The sequence below is a fragment of the Homo sapiens genome, chromosome 1 (genome assembly GCF_000001405.40).
Source record: "Homo sapiens chromosome 1, GRCh38.p14 Primary Assembly".
In the NCBI taxonomy this organism is placed as follows: domain Eukaryota; kingdom Metazoa; phylum Chordata; class Mammalia; order Primates; family Hominidae; genus Homo; species Homo sapiens.
In genome coordinates, this window is record NC_000001.11 from 25,029,430 (window position 1) to 25,053,758 (window position 24,329).

Below are 24,329 nucleotides of genomic sequence, written 5' to 3' on the forward strand. Positions count from 1 at the left end.
CTGAATTGCGAGGCTGCAAAGCCCCATTCTCCTGGTGCCCATCTTGCCCAGCCCAGCAGCGGGAGCCCTTCTCAGGGAAGAACCTGTTGCGAGGGGAGAGGCGGAGCTGTCGCTGATGGACGGAGCACAGCTCCCCACCCGCAGTGGGTACTCAGGAAATGTCTGTTGACAAACAATCCTGTCTTCATAAAAACAAAACTGGCAATGCAAGTGCATAAAAGAAAAATACTGGAATGAAATGCACCCAAATGTCACTATTCTAATGAAGATGATAAGGAATGTGATTTTCTTGCTCTTTCCTGTGCTTATCTGTATTTTCTATATTTGTTGCAGAGAAGTTAAAAGAAAAGAAAAACCGTAAAAGGAAAGCCAAATGCCTCCTCCAGAGCTGTCTGACAGGGTTTTGGGGAGAGATGGTCTGGGGAGGCTGCAGTCAGCAGTACAGCCCCCGGGGGCTGTCAACAAGCAAGAGAGGTCAGAGACCAGTGGCCCTGGCTGGCCTCCCTGGTTGACCCTCTTAGAATCAGAAGATACCACTTTGAGCATCTTGGGGTGCAGGTGATGAGGGGAAACAGTAACTTTGGGAGCAAGCAGTCAAGGATGAGGATTTGGGGGTCAAGAGACCTGGGAAGCCCAGCTCACCATCTAGCCTAGAGTGTGCCCTGCGGCAAGTCATTGTTCTACTGAGCCTCAGTTTCCCCATCTGCAAAGTGGGTTTCTGGAAGGCTATCATGAGGACTAAATGAGGTCATGCATATGGAACAATCAGCCAGTCCTTAGCATGCAGTAAGTGCTCAAATAAGGGTAGCTCTTGGTCATTCTTCTTCTTCTTCTTTTATTTTTTTTTTTTTCCTGAGACAGAGTCTTGCTCTGTCACCCAGGCTGGAGTGCAATGGAATGATCTCAGCTCACTGCAGCCTCCGCCTCCTGGGTTCAAGTGATTCTCCTGCCTCAGCTTCCTGAGTAGCTGAGATTACAGGTGCATGCCACCACACCTGGCTAACTTTTTTGTATTTTTACTAGAGAGAGGGTTTTGCCATGTTGGCCAGGCTGATCTTGAACTCCTGGCCTCAAGTGATCCACCCGCCTCAGCCTCCCAAAGTGCTGGGATTACAGGCATGAGCCACTGCGTCTGGCTGTTTTTCTTCTCTTCCAGTCCCCATGGTCATTAGGTAAAGCCTGGCCTTGGCACTCAGGCTGGAAGTTGGCTAGAGGGGATTTGGAACTAACCCCCTTGGTGTAAGGTGAAGAGTCTGAAATTTAGGGAGGGGAGGAGGTAAGAACAGAGTCAGACTCCTCCCTCCGCCACACCTTGCTGCTTCCAGCCCTCACTGTTCCAGAGCAGAAAGTGTGGGGTTTAGATGCTCCCGGGGACCTGAGATCCATGTCAGTCCTCCCAGTGTGTGGTTCTAACACCTTCCTCAGTGTGGGCCTCTCCCTGTCCTCCCACCCCACCCAGCCCCACCCTGGCCAGTCTCAGGACCTGTGGAAACCAGGAGGACCAACCAAGTTCTCCTTCTCACTCTCTGTCTGAGTCAACCCCACCACACCATGGAGGTGACTCAGAGGAGACAAAGCCCCAAACCACACCCCATTCACGGTTTGGAGGGGAGCCTCACTCCAGGGCTGGGTTTCCCAGGGTCTGTTCTGCCCTGCCAGACACTCTCAGGCTCCCTAGGAAGAGGAGGATGGAGACTGGAGAGATGGAGGGATGGAAGGATGGAGGCTGGAGAGATGGAGACTGGAGGGATGGAGGATGAAGGGATGGAGGCTGGAGGGATGGAGGGATGGAGGCTGGAGGAATGGAGGCTGGAGAGATGGAAGGATGGAGGCTGGAGGGATGGAGACTAGAGGGATGGAGGCTGAAAAGATGGAGGGATGGGAGGGATGGACGCTGTAAGGATAGGGGCTGGAGGGTGGAGGCTGGAGGGATAGAAGGATGGCGGGATGGGAGGAATGGAGGCTGGAGGGATGAAAGGATGGAGGCTGGAAGGATAGAGGCTGGAGAGATGGAAAGATGGAGGCTGGAGCAATACAAGGATGGAGGCTGGAGGGATGGAGGCTGGAGGGATAAAGGAGGAAAACAAAGAGCGGGAGGGGTCTGGGCACTAGGCTAGGGCCTCAGCTGCTGGGCCTGTACCATGGCAGGGAATCCATGAATCCTGGAGGCATTTTTGGCTGGTTCCAAAGTCAGACAAAGTGTGAACCTCTCTCTGCTACAACCTTGGCCAGAAAGTCTGGTGCAGAGACGATGAGACACTGGGGACCCCCACTTGTTCACATTTGTTCCGTTGCTCACTTGTTCAAAAAACACGCGTGAAGCCCCTGCTTGGAGCCAGGCACTGGGCTGGGTTCAGGGTTTCCAGATGAATCAGGCCTGCTCCCCGGGGGACTCCCAGTCGTTCAGAAGAGAGACAGACATTGAAACAAATAATTAAAGACACGAATGAAAGCCTCTGAGATAAAAATACACAAGATCGGTGAACACAGAGAGAGTCACTGAGACAAGCTTAGGGTTGACCCTAAGCTTGAACCAGAGGGAAAACTCAGACCTCCACCGAGTAGGATGGGCAGTGGGAGGCTGGGGTGCAATGATCCTGAAGGATGCTGAGGGACCCACCACTGCTCCCGTGACCTCCACCTGACGTTCCTCAGGGAAGTGACACCCCCTCCAAAATATGCAACGAGAGAGGCCCTGGGGAGACGCAGGCTTGGGTTTCAGATGTGGGCGATTCTCACACGGGCTGCAGATTCTAGGCCTTGGTCTGCAGCCCGCTCACTCCACGCCGCTGAGACTCAGTTTTCTCATCTGCCAAGTGAGAGTTCTGGATTTGGAGATGATTATTACAGCTAATATTTGCTGAACATTTACTGTGTGCCAGGCATCGCGCCAGACACTTTGCATCGGTACCTCGTTCAGCCTTCACATCCGCCCAGTGAGGTAAGTGCTATTAATAGCAGAAGCCTCTTATCCAATGAGAGCAAAACCAGTGGTTGGTTAATAGAAAAAAAAATTAATGCAGGAAATCATATGATACATAAAGTAGGCATTTTATTGAACGTAACACGTGCGCGTGTACTTTTATGAGATGATCTTCTGATGCAGGGCCAAGGCTGTCTTTGAGACTGAGGCCCCCAGCTGGTGTCCTACCTTGTTTTTCTTGCATAAAACCAACCTGTGCAGCAGCGTTTATGGCTCTCATTAGGAGTCCTTTAAAGCGGAGTGGGACCTTAGAGATGCTTGTGAAGCCATCTGAGCACAGACTCCCTAGACTCCCTCTGGATTTTTAATAATCACCCCCTCCCTCCAGTTTTAGTCTACACCTAATTCAATGAAAGTTTGTGACGGATTTTAACTATTGTCTTCCCCAGTCTTTTATGGCTGTCTTGCCCACACCTCATTTGGCAGCACTTTTTTTTTTTCTTCCGTTGACAACTCGCCTATAACTGGGCCTTTGCAAAGTCCTTTCTTGGTTTTCTGTGACACGACTCTCTTTCCCATTCACATTCTGGTCTCCCTGGTTCGGCCACTACAGCCAGCAGCTGCAGGTCTGGGAAGAAGCCTCACTGAGTCAGAGGAGCCGCCTAGGTGGGAATAGCAGCGGCCGGCCTGCCTGGAACATTCAGGAAGCTGTGGCATCTACTAGCCTCTCTTTCAAAGGACAGGGAGAGTGTTTGTTAATCCAGAGTGGGTTGAAGGGAGGTCTTGTAAGGCACTTTCTATGGTTTGATTCCCATTCTACAGGTGAGGAAACTGAGGTACATGAAGTCACTTCCCCAAGGCCACCCTAGGCTCGTCTAGCTGGGATCTGAACCCAGGCCTGCCTGGCTCCACGTTCTTCATCCTCACACCCTGCTACCTCCTTGTTGCACCAGAGGGGGTCCCTGTGCAACCCAGGTCTGGCTTTCCTGCTGGAAGGACTTAAAGGATCTCTCTTGCATGTGGAATTTGAGGTGCATTTAAACATTGTCCACACTAAGCCTGGTACGGAAGATGGCCACCGATCTTGGGGCAAGGTCTTCTCCCTTGGTCCTGTGTCTCCACGCCCAGGCCTGGTATGCAGCAGGTGCTCATGAGTGTCAGGAGCTGGACAGGAACAGTCAGGATGCCTTTTGTGTTTCTGCCAGTGTCGCGAGCACCTGCTCTGGGGCATGCACCAGGCTGGGTTCCAGGATCTAACAGGAAGGAGAAGCTGGTCCCATCACTGGCCTCAGAGGTCAGTGTCTAGCAGGGTCATTCCATGTCCCCTCGTCCAAGCCTCCTCTGGTCAGACTTCCTCTGAGGGGACAGGGGGTTGTTAAATATGCAAAGGATGTGGATTTTGGAGTCAGACACATCTGAGCTCCAATTACAGCTCTGCCACTTATTGGCTGTGCGTGTAACCTCAGACCGATGGCCACCTCTCAGCCTCGGTACAAACGACAATGCCTCATTCTAGGCCCTTGGTGGGCAGACCCCCAGCAGGGCTAGGAGTCCCTTGAGCCCCAGGGAGGAGGAAGCCCGTAGGCAGGAGGGGTTCGGCTGTGGACAGGGGACCTGGCAGTCAGCTCCCAGAAGCTTCCGACCGTTGGTGGCTGTGGAGAGCGAAGCGGTATGCAGGGGAAATGAAAAGAGGCCAGACGTCGTCCAGGCCGCAGCACGCAAGGGCACCTCACTCCGCTCCTTCGTTCCCTCCCAGGCTCAGAAAGGGGAAGGCAGCCCAGACCAGGAAGTGGCCAGCTTCTGATGGCCACCGCATGGGGACCGCACCAGCCCCAGCAGGAAGTGGCTGGCCCCTTCCCACCCCCTGCCGAGCCAGGCCCTCCTGCACTCACACTTGGGAACCAGCCAGCCTGAAAGTCCCTGTTCTCAGGTTCTGGGACCAGCACTGCATTCTTAGAAGCCTGGGTCCGGCCGGGGCCCCTGATGTTGTGGCTGGGGGTCCACAGACCTGGGTTCTCAGCCCCGCTTTGCCACTTCCTCGCCCTGAAGCCTCAGCCAAGTTGCTTCCCCGTCTGGACCTGTTCCTCGTCTGTTAAATGGGGTGATCACCCACCACCCGCCGCCTCAGAGGGACAGTGAAAATGGGGAGTCCTGAAAGGCCAGAGCTGGAAAGTCCCCGAAGAGTCCTTACAGAGGAGGCAGGTGGGAAAGGAGGGAGATTGTCCCCGGTCCCACAGCCAGTGGGTAGCAGGGCCGTGAGGTTCTGGAAAGAGCACTGCATTGGGAGGTAGCACTTGGCCCAAGCCTCACTCAGCTCCTTCCTAGCTATGGGACCTTGGCCAAGTCAACCAAGGCCCCTGGGCCTTTTCCTACAAGACAGCAAACCTCGTCTCCCAGGGCTCCTGGGGCGCGCAGATGCTCCGTACTGTGTTGTGAACAGGAAGGGCTTCTTGCTGGAGGTAGACTGGAACTCAGATCTCAAGGGTTCCCGTTCTTTGCTGCCCCTCCCCTGAACTCCATATGCAAGGAGTGGGGTCTGGCACCTCCTGAGGGGAGGACTCCTCTTGCTTGCCTCTACCCCTGCCTCCCCCCATTGGGTGAGAGGTGGCAAATCTCTTTCCTTGATTCCACTGAGTCACTGGAGGCCGTGCTCTTGGAGGAGCTGCGTGTGAAGTCACCTCTCCCACATCAGCAGCCAGAGACGCCATTGCCACTGACACTGTGGCACCCAAACCCCCGTCTACTGCAGGCTGGCAGAGCCCTCCACAGACCCCGGAGCCCAAACAGCCTTTGTGGTGCAGCCAAGGGGTAAGGGGGAGGCTGGGCGGGGCCCGGAGCAGCCCTCCAGCAGCAGGCTTCCTGATGCTGTTGGCACCACTGCCCAGTCCCAGCTCAGGCTTCTGGAGAGTGGGCCTCAGGATGGCAGAGCTGGCAGAGGAGGTAGAGGCTAGCCCATCGTGGGGACAGAATGAGAGTCCATGGACCTAAAGAAGAGCTGGGAACCGCAAATCCCATGTGGAATTATGGGATATGTGTGTGTGTGTATGTATGTGTGTGTGTGTGTATGTATGTGTGTGTGTGTGTGTGTGTGTTCATATACACACATTATCTGCATTTCCCAAGGAGGAGGGTCAGGTTTCATCAGATTCTCAAAGACAAAAATAACATGTTCAGGACCAGGATGCTTTTTCCCTTTTCCCATTCCCAGATGAGGCAGTTGAGGCACAGAGAAAAAATTACCTCACAGTTCTTACAGGCAGGATAAGGAAGGGTAGTTGATGTTCCAATGATGACTTCCTTTTTCTGGTTCAAAAAAGGTCTCTGGAGAGTTCAGAGGGAGACTCTATCCCATCTTCCTGTCCCAGAACATTGATGGTAGCTGTGGCTGGAAGAGTGAGCTCACCCAGGAGAAGAGGTTAGGTCTCCTGAACCAAACCCCAGAGCTCCCACCAGCACTACCACCATCGCCACCACCATCATCACCACCAGCACCACTACCATCACCAGCACCACCACTATCAACACTACCACAGTCACCACTAGCATCACTGTTACCACCATCAACACCACCACCACTACCATCAACACCACCATCACTACCAGCACCACCATCAACACCAACACCACCATTATCATCAGCACTACCATAATCACCATCACCAGCAACACTACCATCATCACCATGAACATCACTACCATCACCACTAGCATCATTATCAACCACCATCACTAATACCACTGGAATCACCACCACTACCACCATCACCACTATCAACACCATCCCCACCATCCACATCATCAACACCACCACCAACACCACCATCATCACCACTAACACCATAACCAGCACTACCATCACTACCACAATCAACACCATTACAAGCATCAGCACCACCATCATTACCACCACCACTACCATCACCACCATCACTATTGACACCACTCTTACTACCACCATCACCACCGTCACTACTGACACCAGCACTACTATCTGATTACCAGCATCATCATCAACGTCATCACCACTACAATCACTACCATCACTATCAACACCACCATCACCACCATCCCTATTGACACCAGCACTACTATCAGACTACCAGTATCTCCATCAACACCATCATCACCACCACCACCATCAACACCATAACCACAAGCACTGCCAGCACCGCCATTGACACATGGTCTGCATTAGAGACTGAGCTAATCATCTTGCTTCTACCATTACCCTGCTGGTAATTGGGATACCCAGCTCAGGCTTCACCCAGAACCCTGTGGGACCAGCCAAGGGTGGGTGAAAATGAACCTCTGTGCTCTGAGGCAGGTGAGGACATTCCGAATGGAAAATGCCAATTGCAAAATGAGCTTAACTGACCTGACCTTCACATCAGACCCCCTTGGGGATGGTAGGAGAAATGTACATATTGGTCCCTCTATCTCTCAACAAATATTTACTATATATTATTTTAGCTGACACCTATGCACCACTGATCAAGCACTGTTTTAATTACTTTAGATATATGAACTAATTCAACCTTTGTAGTAACCCTATGAGGTGGGTAGTATTATTATCCCTATTTTGCAGTCGAGGAAACAAAGGTACAGAAGTGAAATAGCTTATCCAAGGCCAGGCACTTAGTAAATGGCAAGGCCAAGATTTGAACTCAGACATCCCAACACGCAGAGTCCACGCACCTAACCACTACACTCACTGTCAGATGGAAGGAGCATGGGACACGCCAAAGAAAATCCCAGGTGTGCAAACCTGCAAGTAACTGTGATCTCCTTGAAGGCATGGGCCATATCATTTGCGCTGCTGTGTTCTCAGAGCCTATCACCAGGCCTGGTATACAGTAAGGGCTCAATAAATGTTAGCTGAATAAGTGAATTGATCGGTAACACTGGGCTTCAAACCCTTCCCCCGGCACCTCTTCCTTCCTCCCCTGAGCCGCACTTGAGGGCAGTATCGGAAGCTGTAGTTCTACTGCCAGCCAACAGAGGGCAACATGTATAATAGGGTGAGATCGGCCATCAGCCAGGAAGAAGGAATTAGGAGGAAGAGGAGGCAATACTTTGTGGCAGGCATGAATGCACTTATTGATTAAAAACAAAATTGAGACAAACCTTGGAACCTACCACATGATGGGACACTATGGCTGGTATTTTCTATTTGACAGCTGAGGAAACTGAGGTTCAGAAAGGGAAAGGTCGTTGCCCAAGGTCATGCAGCAAGTGAGTGGCAAAGCCAGGCTGAAGAACCTAGGTCTCCTGGGCTCTTTCCCAACCAGAACTCAAAAAACAGCTGACAGATGGGAAGATAGACCAGACATCTCCCTGTCTGTCAAAACAAGACAAGGTGGGCTCTGGAAGAGGGACGTTGAAAGTTACCAGCCAGGGCAAACCCCTAACCCTGCTTACCATCCCTCCTACCCTACCCCACCCCACCCCACCCCACCTTATGCCCCAGCCCCATTCCCCTCCCTCCCCTCCCCACCCCCCCGCACACATAGCCAGGCCGCCCCCTGGTGTCTGTGACTGGCAGTACGCAAATGCACAGTCTCGATTTTGTCAATCCCCCTGCCATGAGGATGCATCTCCACCTTATAGGCCCAGGTCTGACCACAGGCTGCTGGGGTAGCAAGGGACCAAGAGCACCAGGTTCCAGTCCCTCCAGGGACTCACAGGCCACAGGATGAGGCAAGATGGCCCCAGAACAGAACACAGAGCTCATGTGCCGGAGTTCCAGGAATTACAGCCAATGGCCACCCCATGCAACCAGCACTGCACTCAGCACTGGTGATGCTCCACTTCTTTTAGGCCACACCATCCTATGGGGTAGGTACTTGTATTCACCTTCATTGACAGCTGAGGAAACTGAGGCTTAGCAAGGGGATGTAACCTTGCCATTGGAGTCCACACTGGCTGATTTCAAGTCAACGGCTGGTTCAGCTGCCCCATGCAATAACCCCTGTAGCTCTGAGTGAGTGTGGTAGGCTTGGACGGTAGTAGTCTTGGAAGGCTCCCAGGAGGAGGTGGGGCTCCACTGTCTCAAAGACAAGATCCAACTCCTTGCCATCACCCACTGGTGACAACAATCATCACAACAACAAGTACCATGCATTAAGTACTTAGTGCTGGGTGCTGCAGTTTAAGTACTTTACATGGATTATTTACTCATTCATTCATTTATATATTTACTGAGCATCTCCTATGCACCTGTGTGCTAGGTGCTGGATCACAACAGTGAACAAAACAGACAAAAATTCCTGACCTCATGAGACTTATATTCTGGACATGAGAGAAAGATAATAAGCAAAATAAAAGCATACAGTGTGTGCCAGTGATCATATAATAACTTCTGGAGAAAAATTAATTAGGAGGAGGAGAGAAGGCATTTGGGGAAGGTGTTAGTACTTTAAGCTGTGTGGTCAGGGGAGGTTCCCTGAGATGACATTTAAGCAGAAAGCAGAAAGAACCATGTGGGTGTCTGGGGGAAGAGCATTCTAGGCAGCGACAATAGCCGTGCAAAGGCCCTGAGGCAACTGTCTCCTTGATTCATCTCATTCAACCTTGAGTTAGAAATCGCTGTTGTTCCCATTTCATAGATGCCCCTAGTTAAGGAGCACTTTCTACATCTGGCAGGGAAGAGGCAGGGCAGATGGAGAAACTGAGGCCCAGAAAGATCATGCTCAAAGTCACACAGTGAGTCTGTGGCATAGCTGGAATTCATGCCTCGGTCTTCTGCCTTCCATACCAGAGCTCTTCCGAGAGTAACTCAAGGTTCTTTAGTTTCTAATGGAATGCATCACTTCTGGCACCCCCAAAGTTCAGGGACCCCAAAGGACTGGGGCACGATGCAGTCTCCAGAAAGGCTACTGAACCAAGCACGGGTGATGAATCCCAGCCTGGGGGAGGCAGAGCCAGCCTGGGTGGCAGTGCTCGGCTATGGTGGGACAGAGAGGCCCAGTCAATAGTGCCTCCTGCTGTCTCGTCCAGTGTGTCCCCTTTAGAGTAAGGGGACTCTCCTACTTACAAGGGCTGTATCTCAAGTCCACCAGCAGGGGAGAGTGGCTGAGGAACACCAGTGACTAATCTCAGGCTGCCCAGCCGCTGCCCAGTGGTCAGCGTGGGGCCAAGGTCAGCAGTCAGCCTGGGCCAGAGGTTTGTGGTTGGATCAGGAGTCAGTGGGTACCCCGGCAGGAGTCAGTGTATGGTTTGGCTGAGGGATCAGTCTGTGACAAGGGACAGCCGTCGGTTTATGTTCAAATCAGGACTTCATCCATCACCAGGGTCAAAGAGCAAATAGGCCCAAGTCAGGACTCAAACATGGCCAGCGTCAGAAGTGTGTGTCTGCGGAGTGAAGCCTGCCACCAGCGTTGCATCAGGCCAAAATCTGACCTCAGAGCCAGGTGTGGCCAAATCAGGAGATGCTGTAACCACTGAGCTGCCAGCCCTGTCAAGCAGGATGCTGGGCAGAGGGGACACATCAGTTCCCTCCATCTCCCATGCCAGACCTGGCAAGTCTGGGCAACCCAACCCAAAGCCTCCCCACTGTTCCAACAGCCTGGGGGACTTAGCTGATCTAACATCCACCCATTCCCATTTAACAGATGGAAAAACTGAGCCCAGAGTGGGGCCAGGACATACCCAACATCATAGCGCAGATGAAGACACAGCCAGGACCAGAACTCAAATCTCCTACACCAGTGGGCTTCCCCCCTGAGCCTGAACATGGAGTCACCACTGGCTCAGTGATTACTGAGTGGAAAGGGATTCGAGACGGCAGAGCACTGTGCAGAGATAGCTGGGCATGAGGGGAGAGAATGCAAGCCTCAGCTGGGAATCGGGACTCTTGGATTCTCATCTTCTCAGATTGACTTAATTCACCACTTCAGAGAGGTCTGTGCGTTCACTTGTTCATTGATTCATTTATTCAACAAATGTCTTCTTAGGTAACCTCTCTGGACCTCAGTCTCCTGATCTGTAAATGGGCAGAATGCCTTTCCCAGGATGGTTGTGGAAACAAATGAGAAAACAAATGGGCAACTTCTGGTGACTGCGCACAGGTGCATGCGTGGTTGCAGCAGATGGCAGTGCCGCCCGCGTGCCTTGGTTATTCCTGTGGCTCATGCCCATGGGAAAGCTTCCAACCACAGCACCTGCAACTCCCCCTGCCCCACAACAATGTTCTCTGGTCAGTGGTTGGGGGCAAGCCAGAGTCCTGGGAGTTAGCACACACCTAGGAGTGACCCTCAAGCAATGTTGGAACAGAGCCGAGGAATACACACTCAGCTCCCTCCCCGCTCAGCTGGGGTCACTCAGGTGTGTTCTACGCTGTCTTCCCAGGGTCCCCAGTGGGATGGAGCCCCGGTTGCCCACAGCTATAACTTGCTGGCTAATGCATATTCCTCCCTGGTTTCTTCCCCACCCCCTTACAGGTACTCCTTGGGATCATAAATGAACTACCTGCAACTCACATCCTAGTGTGAGTTGCAGGGTCTGCTTTCAGATCAGCCCAAACTCAGGTATGAACACATCGCATGTCATCTCATCTCACCTTCACAACACCCCTGGGAGGTGGGCCTGCTGCCCCACTCTACAGAAACAAATGCTCAGAAAGCTTAAGGTCATTGTCAAGAATATGGCAGATCTGGAATTTCTCCCCAGGACTGTCTGTCTCCAGAGCCAACACTCAACTATCACGTTATGCATCATCCCACCTCACCCCCAGGGACCTCCCTCATAATGGAAGCAGCAGCAAAGACTTCATAATGAACAGCACCAGGTAAGTGCTTGTGGAGATGAGAGAACTGCAACATTGCCTGTTGTCCTGCAGGCAGTAGTCCCGCAGCAAGCCAGCATGCTTTCCTGGGGACATGATACCTGAGCTGGGCGTTTAAGGATGCACTGGAGTTGTCCAGGTGGTGAATAAGAGAATGCACTCCAGGCAGAAGGAAGAGCAGGTGCAAAGGCTTAGAGACACGAAAGAGGGTGTTGTATTTAAGGAATGCCGGAAAGCAATGAAGGTGTGTGGGGTGTGATGCCTTCAGGAGAGGGTGGGAACCTTTGCTCTAGAAGTAGGCCTGCATTGCCCCTGGTGGGCTGGGCACCACCCTGCTCAGAAGGCTTCAATCAGGCACAGGTGTGGTCAGATGTGTGGCTCTGGTGGCAGTGTGGAGCAGATCATGCTTGATACATAGTATATGCTCAATACAGATGTAGTCTTAACTATTAATTTTTTATTTTATTATTTCAATTTTGTATCTAGTTTGTTTTTGTTTTTGTTTTAAGACTTCTGTACCCCCAATGTCATGAATAATTACTTTCTTCTAAAAATTTTAAATTTTGCTCTTTCCCATTCAGGGCTTTGGGTCATCTGAAATGTACGTTATGTTTGGTGTGAGGTAGGAATAGCATTTTATCTCTTCTGTGTGAAGAGCCAGTTAGCCTAGCACCATTTCTTTATTAAATAGGTTGCTCTGTAAATGCTGACGTCTTCCACGTTCGAAGTGCCCATTTATAAGTGGGTGCGTTCAGAGGTTCTCTCTTCCATTTTTTGAACATCCTCCTTGAATCACTACACTTTATAATAAGCCATCGTCTCTAAAAAGACAAGGCTTTCTTAATATTCTTCTTCAAATTTGAGTTGGTGTATTAGTGCTACGGGATCTTTGGGGTGTCACTTTTCTGGCCGGAAACCTCTGTGTGGCTGCTGCAGTGGGGCAGGCAGCTCCAGGTGCCAGCACCAGTGCCAGCTTTCTGTGAGTCTGTGGTTGGACCAGGTGCATTGCAAGCAGCATCCACAGCTGGCACTGGGAACATAGTGGCACCTGGAAGCTTGGAGATGCCAGGAACCACAGGGACCCAAGGAGGGAGTCATAGGTCTGGCTCAGGGAGCACCCAGGCCTGAGCTCCCTGAAGGGCTGCAGCTCCTCTCTCCTCTTTGCCTGTGGCATGGCGAGCAAGGGACATATCTCAGCCCTGTTTGTGTTACAGCTCTTTAGCCTTGCCATTCATCAGGTCCTGAGTTCTTGTCCTGCAATCCAGAATAATGAAGTATGCAGACAAGTGGAGGGTGAGCAAAAGGAAGAGGAGCTTTACTGAGCAATAGCGCAGCTCAGAGGAGACCTGCCATGGGTAGCTCCTTTCTGCAGCCAGAGTGTCTCGATGAGTGTTCAGCTCCTAGCAGAGCGTGTAGTTCCTGCAGGCAGGTTCCAACAAGTGTTGAGGTCTCAGCAGAGAGGGTAGCTCCTCTCTGCAGCTAGTTGTCCTGACAAGTGTTCAGCTATCAGCAGAGAGGGTTGCTTCTCTCTGCTGCTGGCCATCCTGTTGTCTGCAGCTCTCCGCAGAGAGGAGGCCCTAGAGGGGGTGGCTTCTCTCTGCAGGCAGGTTATTCTGTTGTCTCTGCGGCTCTCAGCAGAGAGGCTAGCTCCTCTCTACAGCTGGTCATCCTATCGTCTCTTTGTCCTCTCAGCAGAGAGGAGGACCTGGGGTGGGTTGCTTTTCTCTGAAGGCAGATGGCAGCCCTCCCTGGCCTGTCTGCCTCTTGCTCCCAGGCTTGTTCATGGCCCCCAGGCTGCTTGCACCCACCAATGGGCACCTGCAGGCCAGCGTCGACCCACCCTCAGCAACCCCCTCAGCTTCCTCCCCAACGTTTGTCAGTGCCCAAAGTCTGGAGGGGGCCAAGGCAGCAGGGAGCCAGAATGTCAGTGCTGCCCCAAGTGTGTGCACCGCTGGCCTGGCTGTGATAGCACACAGGCTTGGCCCCACATTGCTCTGAGATCGGAGCAGGCACCGACAGTAGAAAGAATCCAGGCAGTGGGAGCGGGCACTTCTGAGCCTGTGAAGGCAGGGAGCCCCTTCCTGGGTCCCCAAGAATGCAAGGATGCCTGGGTTCACACCCACAGTTTGGGCAGCTGTGGCTCCGCCCAGGAGAGTGGGGCTCCCACCTGCTCCCAGGTCCCGAGAGCACAGGGATGCCCGGGTCCGCAGCCATGGTTGGGGTGGCTGCAGTGGTACCAGCGGAGATCCCGCCCCAACTCAGAAGGGGGTGGAGCTCCTGCTTGTCCCTGGCTCCTGCCAGCTCCATGGAGAATGCAGCCCCAGCCATGCCTCCCTGATGAAGCCGGTGTGATGGCAGCAGCCCCTCCAGATGGCCCGCTGCTGCCATCATTAGTTTCCTGTTATTGCCAAAACAAATTACCACAAAAAAAACTGTGGCTTTAAGCAATACAAATTTATTGTCACACAGCTACAGAGGTCAAGATTTCAGATTTTTCCCTGAGACAGATAAGGTGTCAGCAGGGCTGTGTTTCTTCCTGGAGGCTCTGAGGGAAAACCATTCCCTTTCTTTTTATCAGATTCTAGAGGCACCTGCATTCCTTGGCTTGTGGCCTCTTCCTCCATCTCAAAGTGCATCGCTCCAATTTCTGCTTCTGTCATCACATCGCCTTTTCCTCCAGCTCCGACTCCTCCTGCATCCATCTGAAAAGGATAATCCAGGATATTCTCCCTATCTCAAGATCCTTCATCACATCTGCAAAGTCTCAGGTATGGGTGGGGCTGAGGATATAATCAGTTCTGGGCAAAATTCCTCTGGATGTGCAGATTTGTGAAACTAGAAAACAAGCTTTCTGCTCCCAAAATACAGTGGTGGGACAGCATAAGACAACAGTTATAGACATTTCCATTCAAATAGGGAGAAAATGGAAGGAAAAAAGGAGTCACCAGTCCCAAGCAATTTCAAAATCCAATCAGACAAACTCCATCAGGTTTCAAGGCCTGGGAAAAATCCTCTGCCCTCTGTATGCAAAACAGCAACAACAGCAGCAACTTTGGACCTTACCTCACACCATCTATAAAAATGAACTCAAATGAATTATAGTCCCCTAAAGAAGCATTATGCTAAGTGGAAAAGCCAGACACAAAAGCACACATCATATAGGATTCAGTACATATGAAATTCTAGGAAATACACAGCTATCATGACAGAAGGCAGATCAGTGACGGCCAGTGGCCAGGTAGCAGGGGTGGAAACTGATTGACAACAAAGGAGTGTGGGGTGGCTGTTGGGGGTGATGGAAATGTTCTCACAACTGTATATGTTTTCAAAACTCATCCAACTATATACTAGAAAGGGTGACTCTTATTATATGTAAACTATACCCTAATTTTTTTTTTCTGAGACAGAGTCTCGCTCTGTCGCCAAGCTGGAGTACAGTGGTGCGATCTCACCTCACTGCAACCTCTGCCTCACTGCAACCTCTGCCTCCCGGATTCAAGCGATTCTCCTGCCTCAAGCTCCTGAGTAGCTGGGACTACAAGCGCGTACCACCACACCCAGCTAATTTTTGTATTTTTAGTAGAGACAGAATTTCACCATGTTGGCCAGGATGGTCTCGATCTATTGACCTCGTGATCTGCTTGCCTTGGCTTCCCCAAGTGCTGGGATTACAGGCGTGAGCCACTGCGCCCTGCCCCCAATTTTAAAATAGTGTCTTGACTATTCTTGGTATAAGACAAATAAAGAAGGGAAGGAAGAAATGAAGGAAGGAAGAAGGAAGGAAGGAAGGGAGGAAGGAAGGAAGGAAGGAAGGAAGAAGGAAGGAAGGAAGGAAGAAGGAAGAAGGGAGGGGAAGGGAAGGGATGGGGAGGGAAGGGATGGGGAGGGAAGGAAGAAATGAAGGAGGAAAGAGTCAACTTCAACAGGCTAGGGAGTGGGTGGCCTCCATCAGCCAGGAGGGTCCTGTGACCCAGGCTTTAGGCTGCTGGACACCGCTGGACAGGCCTATTGGAGTTTGGGTCCCTGGACCTCTGGGGAAGGCATCTCCTGCCCCACCTTTCTGGGACAGAAAAGCAGTCAGAGCACACCTGGATTTCCATGTTATCCCAGAAAGCAGTCATGACCCCTTAGCAGGATCTTCCCTCATAGTGCTCGGTTTCTTCGTGAGAGCAGAGATTTTAGTCTGTTCCAAACTAAGGGTAGGGAGCCTATCCCAGTTCACGCAGCCCATGCCTTTTGGCCCCAAAGCCCTGCTGCTGGACCAAGGCACCAACTGCCTGATGTGGAGTCCCTGGGGGCTCAGCTCAGGCCTCCGCCGCAGGGACAGGCCTTGTGGGTACTAATCCACATGAGCCTTGAGTGGCTTCTGATTCTCTCCAGTCAAGGAGCTGCCTCTGCCCCCCTCAAGGATGGGCCTCTAATGGGCCCTGGTTTCCCTGTAGAGTAGGCACAAATAGCTCAGGCTCTGGAGCCAGATGGCCCGGGTTCAAACCCTGGTTCTGCTGTTTGCCTTGTGGTATGACCCAGGGCAGGGTATTCAATGCATTCCTGTCTCCCCTCCTGTAAAGTGAGGCGAATGGTACTACCTACCTCCAAGAACCAGGAGGATTAGATGAGCTCATCTGGGAAAAGGTTAACGGTGGAGTGTGGGCCCAATAAGTGTTGGCTATTGTCATCACTGACCACTGGCAAAGAGCCCCTGGCCTGCTTCCCCTTGGGTTTCCAAAGCCCAGCCCCCTGCCCACGACCACAAGGCTGAGCAGAGACAAACTGCTTTCTTGGAGGGCTGGGCCCGGCCCTGCCACCCATTTCAGTGTCCCACCATGCAGGGGTCCCTCAATCAATAGCCTGGCTGATTGTGGCTTTGGGGTCTCAACCACCAGCCACAGGAGTCCAGCTGGTCCAGACCACAGGTCCACCCGGGGCTGGAGCTGGGAATTGAGGAGGTGACAGCGGGTGGGGTGGGTGTGAGCTGTCACCTGCGTTACTTCTGTGGGTCCACAGGGGCCTGCACTCTGCTGACGCCAGCCCCGGGAGACAAAGGAGGGCCTGGGGTGGGGCCCGGGAGGTGCAGGGTAGTGGGCCAGTGACCAGTCTCAGCTGCACCCACGCCTTGCTGGTGAGCTTTGCCAAACCACTTTTCTCTGAGCCTCATTTGCTCCTCTGTAAAATGGAGGGGACGGGGGAAATCCCCACCGCCTTTGCTTTGGACACGGTCTGGTATTTCGGGCTGGGCCTGGTGCCTTGGTGCTTTACATCAACTCGTTAACTCTCACTACAGCCCCTGAGGTGCATGCTATGATTTTCCCCATTTTAAAGATGCAGAAACTGAGGCTTACATGTTCCAAAAAGCTTTATCTTTGGGGAGATTAGGCCAGCTGTGAAGCTCGTGTCACAAATGGGGACGCTGAGACTCAGGGAAGTGACCAGCCTGGCCTAGAGCTGGCCTCCTTCAGGGAGGCCAGGTCCCTGAAGGAGGCCAGGTTCCAGGTTTAGGAAGAAATGCTTTCCTTCCCAGGCCCACCCCTCCCAGGCCCATTTGCTCACCTGCAAGTTAATGTGGGGGCTGTTTTTTTCCACTTTCTATTTTTCAAGGCTGCTACCAAAGGGGCCACGCAGGACGTCCTCTGGGGAATGCTGGCTCCCACACCACCCGCCTCGGCTCCTGGGCCAAGGTTTTGCCTTGATCTGTCCATCCCACTGCACATGGCTTCAAGGAGGCATTCATGGGAATCCCTGCTCAGGTCAGGCAGCATCGTGTCAAGGTCATGGCCCCTTGAAGATTCTTTGAGGAAGTGGCTGTTGAGCTCCCAACCCCAGGGCTGGAGCAGGAGGATCAGACACCCCGGCCTCAGCCCCAGAGCATGAAAGCCCTCCCCACTCACCCAGCTGCTCTGCAGACCCACACTTGCACACAACTCCATGTGCCACTGACCAGCTCTGACCTCGTCCTGGGCAAGGCTGGCGGGGCCTAGACCCAAACCCACAACAGTGTGTGGCTCCCAGGGAGGCAGCGTTTCCTGGGCACCAGCTCTTTAGAGAATGCCTTCAGAAGTCCCCATCCAGCCTCTCCCCTCATGAAATCCTGTCCTTGAATCATCCAGCCTAGCCCCCTGAGTAGCTGTGCATTTCCGAGACCCCGAATCCATAATATTCATATGAATGAGGTGGAGGGCAGGGAGAATCGCTGCCATTTATTCAACCCTTAATAAATGCTGGGGGCTGCACAAAGCACTTTAAATAAATACAGCCTCTCATTTTAATCCTAAACAGGCCTGTGAGGGAGGTGCCATGATTACCCTTGTTTTATAGATGATGAAAGCTAGGGCTCAGAAGATGAAGTCCTTTACCAAAGGTCACACAGCTAGAAAGCAGAGAGGCCAGGAGTAGCACCCACTTGCTACAAGAGACTGGCCCCTCCAGACACAGTCCTTCCCGACAGCCTCTTTGAGGTTTCCCTGGACCTAGCCCATCGGGACACTGTCCTCACAGCAAAGTAGCAGCCCCAGGCTGGGCACACGGCAGGAACCCTGTGCTGTGGCCCCCCGACCCAGTCCTGTGAACCCTTCCTTACTCCTCTGGCTCTGCTGGGACCATGCTCTCCACCCCAGAGCTGGGATAGCTGGGCCCTCTCCTCGCCCTCTCATCCCAGCGTCCACCCTCCTGTTCAGAGCTGGACCGTTAGCCCATGGGCCCCCTAGGATTCTCTTTGCTTCCAGTTCCCCAGGTGACCAGCAGATCTGTTATTCCTCTCATTTCACTTATTCATTTATTCAGTGGAGTTTAGGGGCAGTCAGGAGGCCCTGGGGACTTGTGAGTGGCTGGTATCAGCCAAGGGCCAGGTCCAGCCTCTGTGGGTAGACACGAATGACTTATTAGGGCTCTGAAAAGGGGCTGTGGATGTGTCTGCCATGGTCAGTCCCTGGGGCGAGAGCCAGCGTCCAAGGCCATGCTTGCCTGCCCTGGTCACCAGAAAGGGCTGGGAGAGGAGGAAGAACTGGGAGCAGGTTAGGACTTCAGAGCTCCCCTAGCTACTCACCAACCTCAGGGACAGGCAGGGGCCAGCCCCTGGAGAAGCCCCCCGTACCTGCTCCCCACCCCACCATACACACGCAGTCTCCCTACAGTGTCCCCCTCCCTTCCTGGCCCCTGAGTCTCCGAGGCAGCAGGAGGAGCAGCAGAAGATCCCAGGACGTGAAGTTCAAAGACAGACAGTCACCCCAGCCACCTGTCTCCCATCACCATCGCCATCACCAGGGCCTCTGAGCCCCACACCCCTCCTCACTGCCCATGTGTCCCCATTTCTCAGGGTCCCTATGTTCTGATGGTGTCACAAGCCCTAGGAGTTAAAAAGTGACAGTTCCCTTCACCTTCTTCTCCTCTCTACAATCCCCTGCCCCTCCTAGCAGGTGAGCCCCGCTAGCAGGTTGGTGTCTATTCTACAGACCCTTTTATGTGCATTAAAAAAACTCCACATGGATATCACAGAGATCGACATATGTAGGATTTACTTTACAGAAATAGCGCCAAGCCATATACATTTTTCTCTGATGTGCCTTTTTTTAGTAGTGTGGAAATCTTTCCATATTTATGTATACACATCTACCATAATTCTTAGCTATTGCAGATTTTATACTGAAAAGAAAACAGAAAGGCTAAGGCTAAATACCCATACTCCCATAGCTTTTTTGTCAAGTACATGAACGAAGAAGTAAAAGCCTCCAAACATAGCATATGAATCTTTCGTATCCTTTTCCCAAGATTACGGAGGCGGAGCTGTGTGGATGTGCACTGGTTCAAACATAGTCATGCATTTTCTTACAGAGTGGCATCATGCCAGTCGTGCTGCTTTATTATTAATTTTTCTGCTTAGCAGTCTGTCTTGGAGATTTTTCCAGATTGGTGCATTTTCATGTCACTAGATTCTGTTTATCCACTATGATTCCATTGTCCGGATGAACCACTGTTCCCCTCTTAATGGACATTTCAGTTAGTTCCAGGCCTTTGCTGAAATGAACACCCTTCCTTATATATCTCTGCACTCCTCATCCCAGGTCTGAAGTCTGAGGAACTGGGGACAATTGTGTGGTGTCGTGATGGTGAGCATGTAAACCACATGTCTGCCCTGTGAAAGGAAGATAAATCTGGGGACCCCAAAATCACCCTCCACCCCACGCACACTCACAACACAGCCTCCTCCAGGCAGCAGAACTGTTAAGCCTGTCAGAGACTCAGGCAGCTGCCAGGCACTAAAAATAAACAGATGAGCTCCTTTGTCTGCATTTAGCAAGCAGGTTGCAGAATTACATCTGCCCAGGGTGACCCCACACCCTGGTTTGGGGGTAAGAAGAGAAGCAGCTTCCAGGCCATCTTCCCAGCACCCCCTTGCCTTGGCTGTGCCATCCACCCCACCCTCCACTGCTTTCCTCCTTCCTCCAGCAGAGGGATTACCTGGGGCAGGAAAGGGGGCAGAGGACCCCTATATGGCCCTGGCAGGCCTCAGAGGCCCATCTGGGAGAAGAGGACTTTGCAGGTTCATTTCCACAAAATGGGGAGCTCCCAGCACGACCTCTGGGATCTGGGCAGCTGCTCAGCTGCTTTTCTGTTCAATTGCATCAAACTAATGTGAACCTGAAATGCTCTAAAATTGAAGCAGGAAAAATTGGATCTGCTATTGATCCTCATCACTTGGGTGACTCCTGTGACCCATATTAGCCACAACCCAGCCAAAAGCAACTGCCCTGAAAACAAAGAGTGTGTGTGGTTATTTGATTCTGTTCAGTTGTAGATGGGAGGAGCCTGGGGTCCCCCAACTCAGCTGCCCTTGTCCCAGATGATGCAAAAAAAAAAAAAAAAAGTGAAGATAAAGACAGAGGAAAGGGTGGGAACCAGGATGGGGACAAGCAACCCTTCCATTGCCTGTAGAAAGGTTTTCAGGAAAAAGATTTGCTGGCATAGAAAAGGCTGTTGGAGCAGGGCAGCTCTAGGGGCTCCTGGGACCTCCCTTCCCACAGGTGTCAGGGAAGCAACCTCAGGCCACTTCTGCTGCGCCATGTCTGCAGTCCCACACCCAGCCTACTGTGCGCAGCATGTGGGGTGCTCTTTAAAGTACATGATGTCCTGTGTAAGTTAAAAACTCATGTTCCAGAAACAGCATCCTGGAAAGTCAGGACTGAGGCCTTGGAGAGTAAATAGACCAGCAGCTCCCAAGTCTGGCACACATGAGAGTCATCAGCAGCTCTGACAGGTGCAGACTCCCAGGTCACCCCCGAGGGCGTCTGATTCGGCATGTGTGGGGTGGCGCCTGGGTATATGTATTGTGAAAACATGTCCAAGCTCAGGACCCTTAATTTCCAAGCGAATTGTGTTCTCTGGAGTCTTGGGAATGGCAGAGGGACCCGGGGCTCCTGCATGGTGAGGGGAGCTGAGCACGTGGGACCCCAGGCTCCTCACCTCTTGAACTGGAGCATCCCACTCTCATCCATTCCATAAACTGCATCTTTGATCGATTGTAAGACACACCACAGTTTTATGTACCACGCAGAAAGACACCGCCAGGTGCCATGGATTATAAGATGCATATCAGTCTCATAGGCAGCAAAGGTGAAATGTGTGTTCTAGAATCCACAAAATAGTGTATGCGGTCCCTTCCTTCAGTGATGTCCCACAGCTCTTAGAGTAAGCCTCACCTCCTCCACATGACCCCAAGGCCCTGTGTGTCCAGCCCTTGCCTACCTCTCCAGCCACCTCCCCAAACCATTCTCGCCTCCTCTGCGCTCCCGCCCTCTGGCTGCCTTCTTTCAGACCCCAGCATCCTCCTCGTTTCCTCCCCAGACAGGAACTTTGCACAGGCCATACATTCTTCCCTTTCCTTCTTAACCTACTCTCTTTGAGAGCACAACTCAACTGCCGCTTCCTTGGGAAGGCCTTCCCTCATCCTCTTTGCTAGATCACACCACCACCACCATTATTCTGTCTTGTGGCCCCTCCGCAGCGCTGGTCCCAGCCACAATCTCACCTTGCTGTGTGGGATTAGGTGATGAATGCCAGACTTCCCTGATTGACGGTAAGCCACATGTAAGTAGAGACTGTCCTGGTTTAACCTGCCATAGAATCCCTTGTGCCTACCACTGTGCCTGGCACTCAGTAGGTACACAACAATCTACACTGGGCTGGTACCCCTCCCCACCAACATGGGGCTCCAGGTTTCAGTGACCTGAAAGGGCAAAGTTGTAAGGGTCAGTCTGGGAGAGAAGCCTTATGGGCCCATGCCAGTCCACAGCTGGGGCATGAGGGTGGAGAGATGGCAGCCAGTGCACACGCCTGCACAATGGTTGCCCCAGCTCCTCCTCCCCAGCTTCCTCACTGGGTCTCAGGCCAGCCTGTTTGCTCAGCTGCCTTATGGAGTTCAATTCTGCTTTCCTGCCCCTCTGCACTCCACCTCCACCTGCCATTCACTGAAGAAACCAAACCAGAGACAGCCAAAGGAGAGGGGATAAGACCGCCCACCAGTCTGTCCACCAAGCCCGCAGGAGAAACAGGCGCCCAGGCCCCAGCCAAGGAGAGATGGTCCTGCAAAAATTCATCATCAAGAGTCTGGGGTTTGGAGTCGGGCTGTCTGGGTCTGAGCCACTCCCCAGCATTGGGCAAATTCCTTCGATTTCTCTTAAGACTCAATTTCTTCCTCTGTAAAATGGGGATTGCAAGAGCAGCTTTGCAGGGTGGCTTTGTGAAACACCTAAGGCGTTGAACTTGACTGAGGGCTTCTGCAATAGCACCCGTGGCCTGGGAAGTGCTTAGCACATGCTCTGATGCAGCATGAGTGCTATTATGATCCCCCTGTGTGGGGAGCCGGAGTCTCGCCCCCAGGGCCTGCTGAGCTGTCATCGACCTGGCTGCCCGCATTGATCTGGCCAGGACCCCCTCGGGAGTCCCATCTGCATGGACAGGCCACCCTCTGCCCCTGGGTGGCTGCCCTTTGCCAAGTTCACGGTCTGGAGCAGTCGGCCAGCTGGGCCTCCCACTAATGAGTGCCTCGTCCTGCCCAGACCAGCTCTCCTTACTCTCCATCGATCCTTGACCTTCCTGGGGAAGCTCCCTCCTCCACTTCTGCCTCTACATGGTTGCTACTGCTGCTCACCCCAGACTCTCGTCGGCTCTGGCAGGACCTCGCTCTGTCCAGGCACCCCTGAGCCTGGGAGCCCCAACCACTCATCCCCCCGACATGTGTGCTCAAGGCCAGGGCTGTGGTCTGGGTTCAGATCTCGACTTGGCGCCTGGTTAAACCAATGCTAGGACCAAGAGATTCGATAGCAAGTTATGAACTGAACATTTGTGACCCCCAAATTCACATGCCATCACCCCCACTATGGCTATATTTGGAGATGGGGCCCCTAAGGGAGTAATTAAGGTTAAATGAGGTCCTGAGGGTGGGGCCCTGTGGACCCAAGGCGGGTACTATTGTCCTCATAAGAAGAGACACCAGAGAACTCATTCCCTCTCTCCACGCACACACAAAGCGAGATGGCAACAGCCCACGGCCAAGAGAAGGGTGAAACCTCTCTGGTAATAAAGCTTACCTTGCTGGCACCTTGATCTTGGACCTTCCAACCTCCAGAACTGTGAGAAATAAATTTCTGTTATTTAAGCCACCCAATCCATGGTATTTTGTTATGGCAGCCTGAGCAGACCAGACACAAGCTATGTGACCTCAGGCAGGTTTCTTAGTCTCCCCATGCCTCAGTTTCCTCATATGTGAGCTCTGAGGACCGTAAGCACACATGACAAAGCTCAGTCAGGGTGGAGTCCCGCACCAGGTGGCAGCTGCTCCCATGGCTGTCCCCTGAACAAATTCTGCACCTGCAATGCCCTTCTCCTCCCTCCTGGCACCTGAATCCTACCCTTCTTCCTAGTTCACCCCTGGGACCCCTTCTTGGCCTCCTGCATGGTCTCTTTCTCTCCAGAACTCCTAGAGCCCCTCCTGGGTATATGTGAGCCTGGGCATTTGCCTAATACCTGGTATTTTTCATCTTCCCAAATGGTCCATCCCATCTCCACCCACCCCCATCCCCACACACACATTCTAGGCGTGCCCAAGGCTGCGGCTCTGAGCCTCAGTTTGCTTCCTTCCAGAGAAACCAAGTTCAGGGCAAGTCCATGGGAGATGCTGAAGACAACAGTGTCTAAAATTGTACCATAAGATATGTCCCCCTGGTTTTTTTCATTTCGGAAGCAAACATTCCTCTCACCAAGTCTCTGCCTCTTTGGTGAGAACCTTCTGGCTTTGGCACTGGGCACCTCTAGTTATAATGACCCTAACAAGTGCTGACATGTCTTGGGCTCCTACGATGTTCATCCCTGGATGTGCTTTGTCTCATTCAATCCTTCCAGCGTCGTCCCGAGGGCGGTGCTGTGACAATCCCATTCCACAAAGCAGGAAGGAAGCAGGGCAAGGGGAGGGAACTTGTGGGAAATGGCAGAGCTGGAGTAGGCATGAAAATGAGGCTGACTCCAGGGCCCACCCTCCACCACCACACTCCACACCCTGCAGCCACAGGTAGCCCTTCTCCCCGGCCAGAGGTGACTCCTTGAGGCGCAGCCTAAGATCTTCTGAGAGCCAAGCTT

At 52.6% G+C, this 24,329-nt stretch overlaps 1 long non-coding RNA gene across 1 annotated transcript, besides 10 other annotated features; it reads left to right on the forward strand.

Annotated features, from left to right (window-relative positions):
* Window positions 135–204: an enhancer, noted in NCBI's record as "active region_437". NCBI's record gives its function as "activates an Ori minimal core promoter by ATAC-STARR-seq in GM12878 lymphoblastoid cells {active_cell/tissue: GM12878}" and the evidence as "EXISTENCE:reporter gene assay evidence [ECO:0000049][PMID:35858748]".
* Window positions 1,687–1,736: a silencer, noted in NCBI's record as "silent region_450". NCBI's record gives its function as "represses an Ori minimal core promoter by ATAC-STARR-seq in GM12878 lymphoblastoid cells {active_cell/tissue: GM12878}" and the evidence as "EXISTENCE:reporter gene assay evidence [ECO:0000049][PMID:35858748]".
* Window positions 2,493–2,702: an enhancer, noted in NCBI's record as "active region_438". NCBI's record gives its function as "activates an Ori minimal core promoter by ATAC-STARR-seq in GM12878 lymphoblastoid cells {active_cell/tissue: GM12878}" and the evidence as "EXISTENCE:reporter gene assay evidence [ECO:0000049][PMID:35858748]".
* Window positions 3,243–3,292: an enhancer, noted in NCBI's record as "active region_439". NCBI's record gives its function as "activates an Ori minimal core promoter by ATAC-STARR-seq in GM12878 lymphoblastoid cells {active_cell/tissue: GM12878}" and the evidence as "EXISTENCE:reporter gene assay evidence [ECO:0000049][PMID:35858748]".
* Window positions 4,293–4,352: an enhancer, noted in NCBI's record as "active region_440". NCBI's record gives its function as "activates an Ori minimal core promoter by ATAC-STARR-seq in GM12878 lymphoblastoid cells {active_cell/tissue: GM12878}" and the evidence as "EXISTENCE:reporter gene assay evidence [ECO:0000049][PMID:35858748]".
* Window positions 5,033–5,092: an enhancer, noted in NCBI's record as "active region_441". NCBI's record gives its function as "activates an Ori minimal core promoter by ATAC-STARR-seq in GM12878 lymphoblastoid cells {active_cell/tissue: GM12878}" and the evidence as "EXISTENCE:reporter gene assay evidence [ECO:0000049][PMID:35858748]".
* LINC02793 (long intergenic non-protein coding RNA 2793) lies at window positions 11,738–19,438 on the forward strand. Its single transcript, XR_947090.3, has 3 exons — window positions 11,738–11,949; window positions 14,284–14,473; window positions 17,301–19,438. It is a non-coding gene; the product is annotated as a long intergenic non-protein coding RNA 2793 (long non-coding RNA).
* Window positions 16,969–17,509: an enhancer, noted in NCBI's record as "H3K27ac-H3K4me1 hESC enhancer chr1:25372889-25373429 (GRCh37/hg19 assembly coordinates)". NCBI's record gives its function as "activates a minimal SCP1, AML or CMV promoter by ChIP-STARR-seq in naive H9 embryonic stem cells {active_cell/tissue: H9 hESC(naive)}" and the evidence as "EXISTENCE:reporter gene assay evidence [ECO:0000049][PMID:30033119]".
* Window positions 16,991–17,040: an enhancer, noted in NCBI's record as "active region_442". NCBI's record gives its function as "activates an Ori minimal core promoter by ATAC-STARR-seq in GM12878 lymphoblastoid cells {active_cell/tissue: GM12878}" and the evidence as "EXISTENCE:reporter gene assay evidence [ECO:0000049][PMID:35858748]".
* Window positions 17,510–18,049: an enhancer, noted in NCBI's record as "H3K27ac-H3K4me1 hESC enhancer chr1:25373430-25373969 (GRCh37/hg19 assembly coordinates)". NCBI's record gives its function as "activates a minimal SCP1, AML or CMV promoter by ChIP-STARR-seq in naive H9 embryonic stem cells {active_cell/tissue: H9 hESC(naive)}" and the evidence as "EXISTENCE:reporter gene assay evidence [ECO:0000049][PMID:30033119]".
* Window positions 22,160–22,678: an enhancer, noted in NCBI's record as "H3K4me1 hESC enhancer chr1:25378080-25378598 (GRCh37/hg19 assembly coordinates)". NCBI's record gives its function as "activates a minimal SCP1, AML or CMV promoter by ChIP-STARR-seq in naive H9 embryonic stem cells {active_cell/tissue: H9 hESC(naive)}" and the evidence as "EXISTENCE:reporter gene assay evidence [ECO:0000049][PMID:30033119]".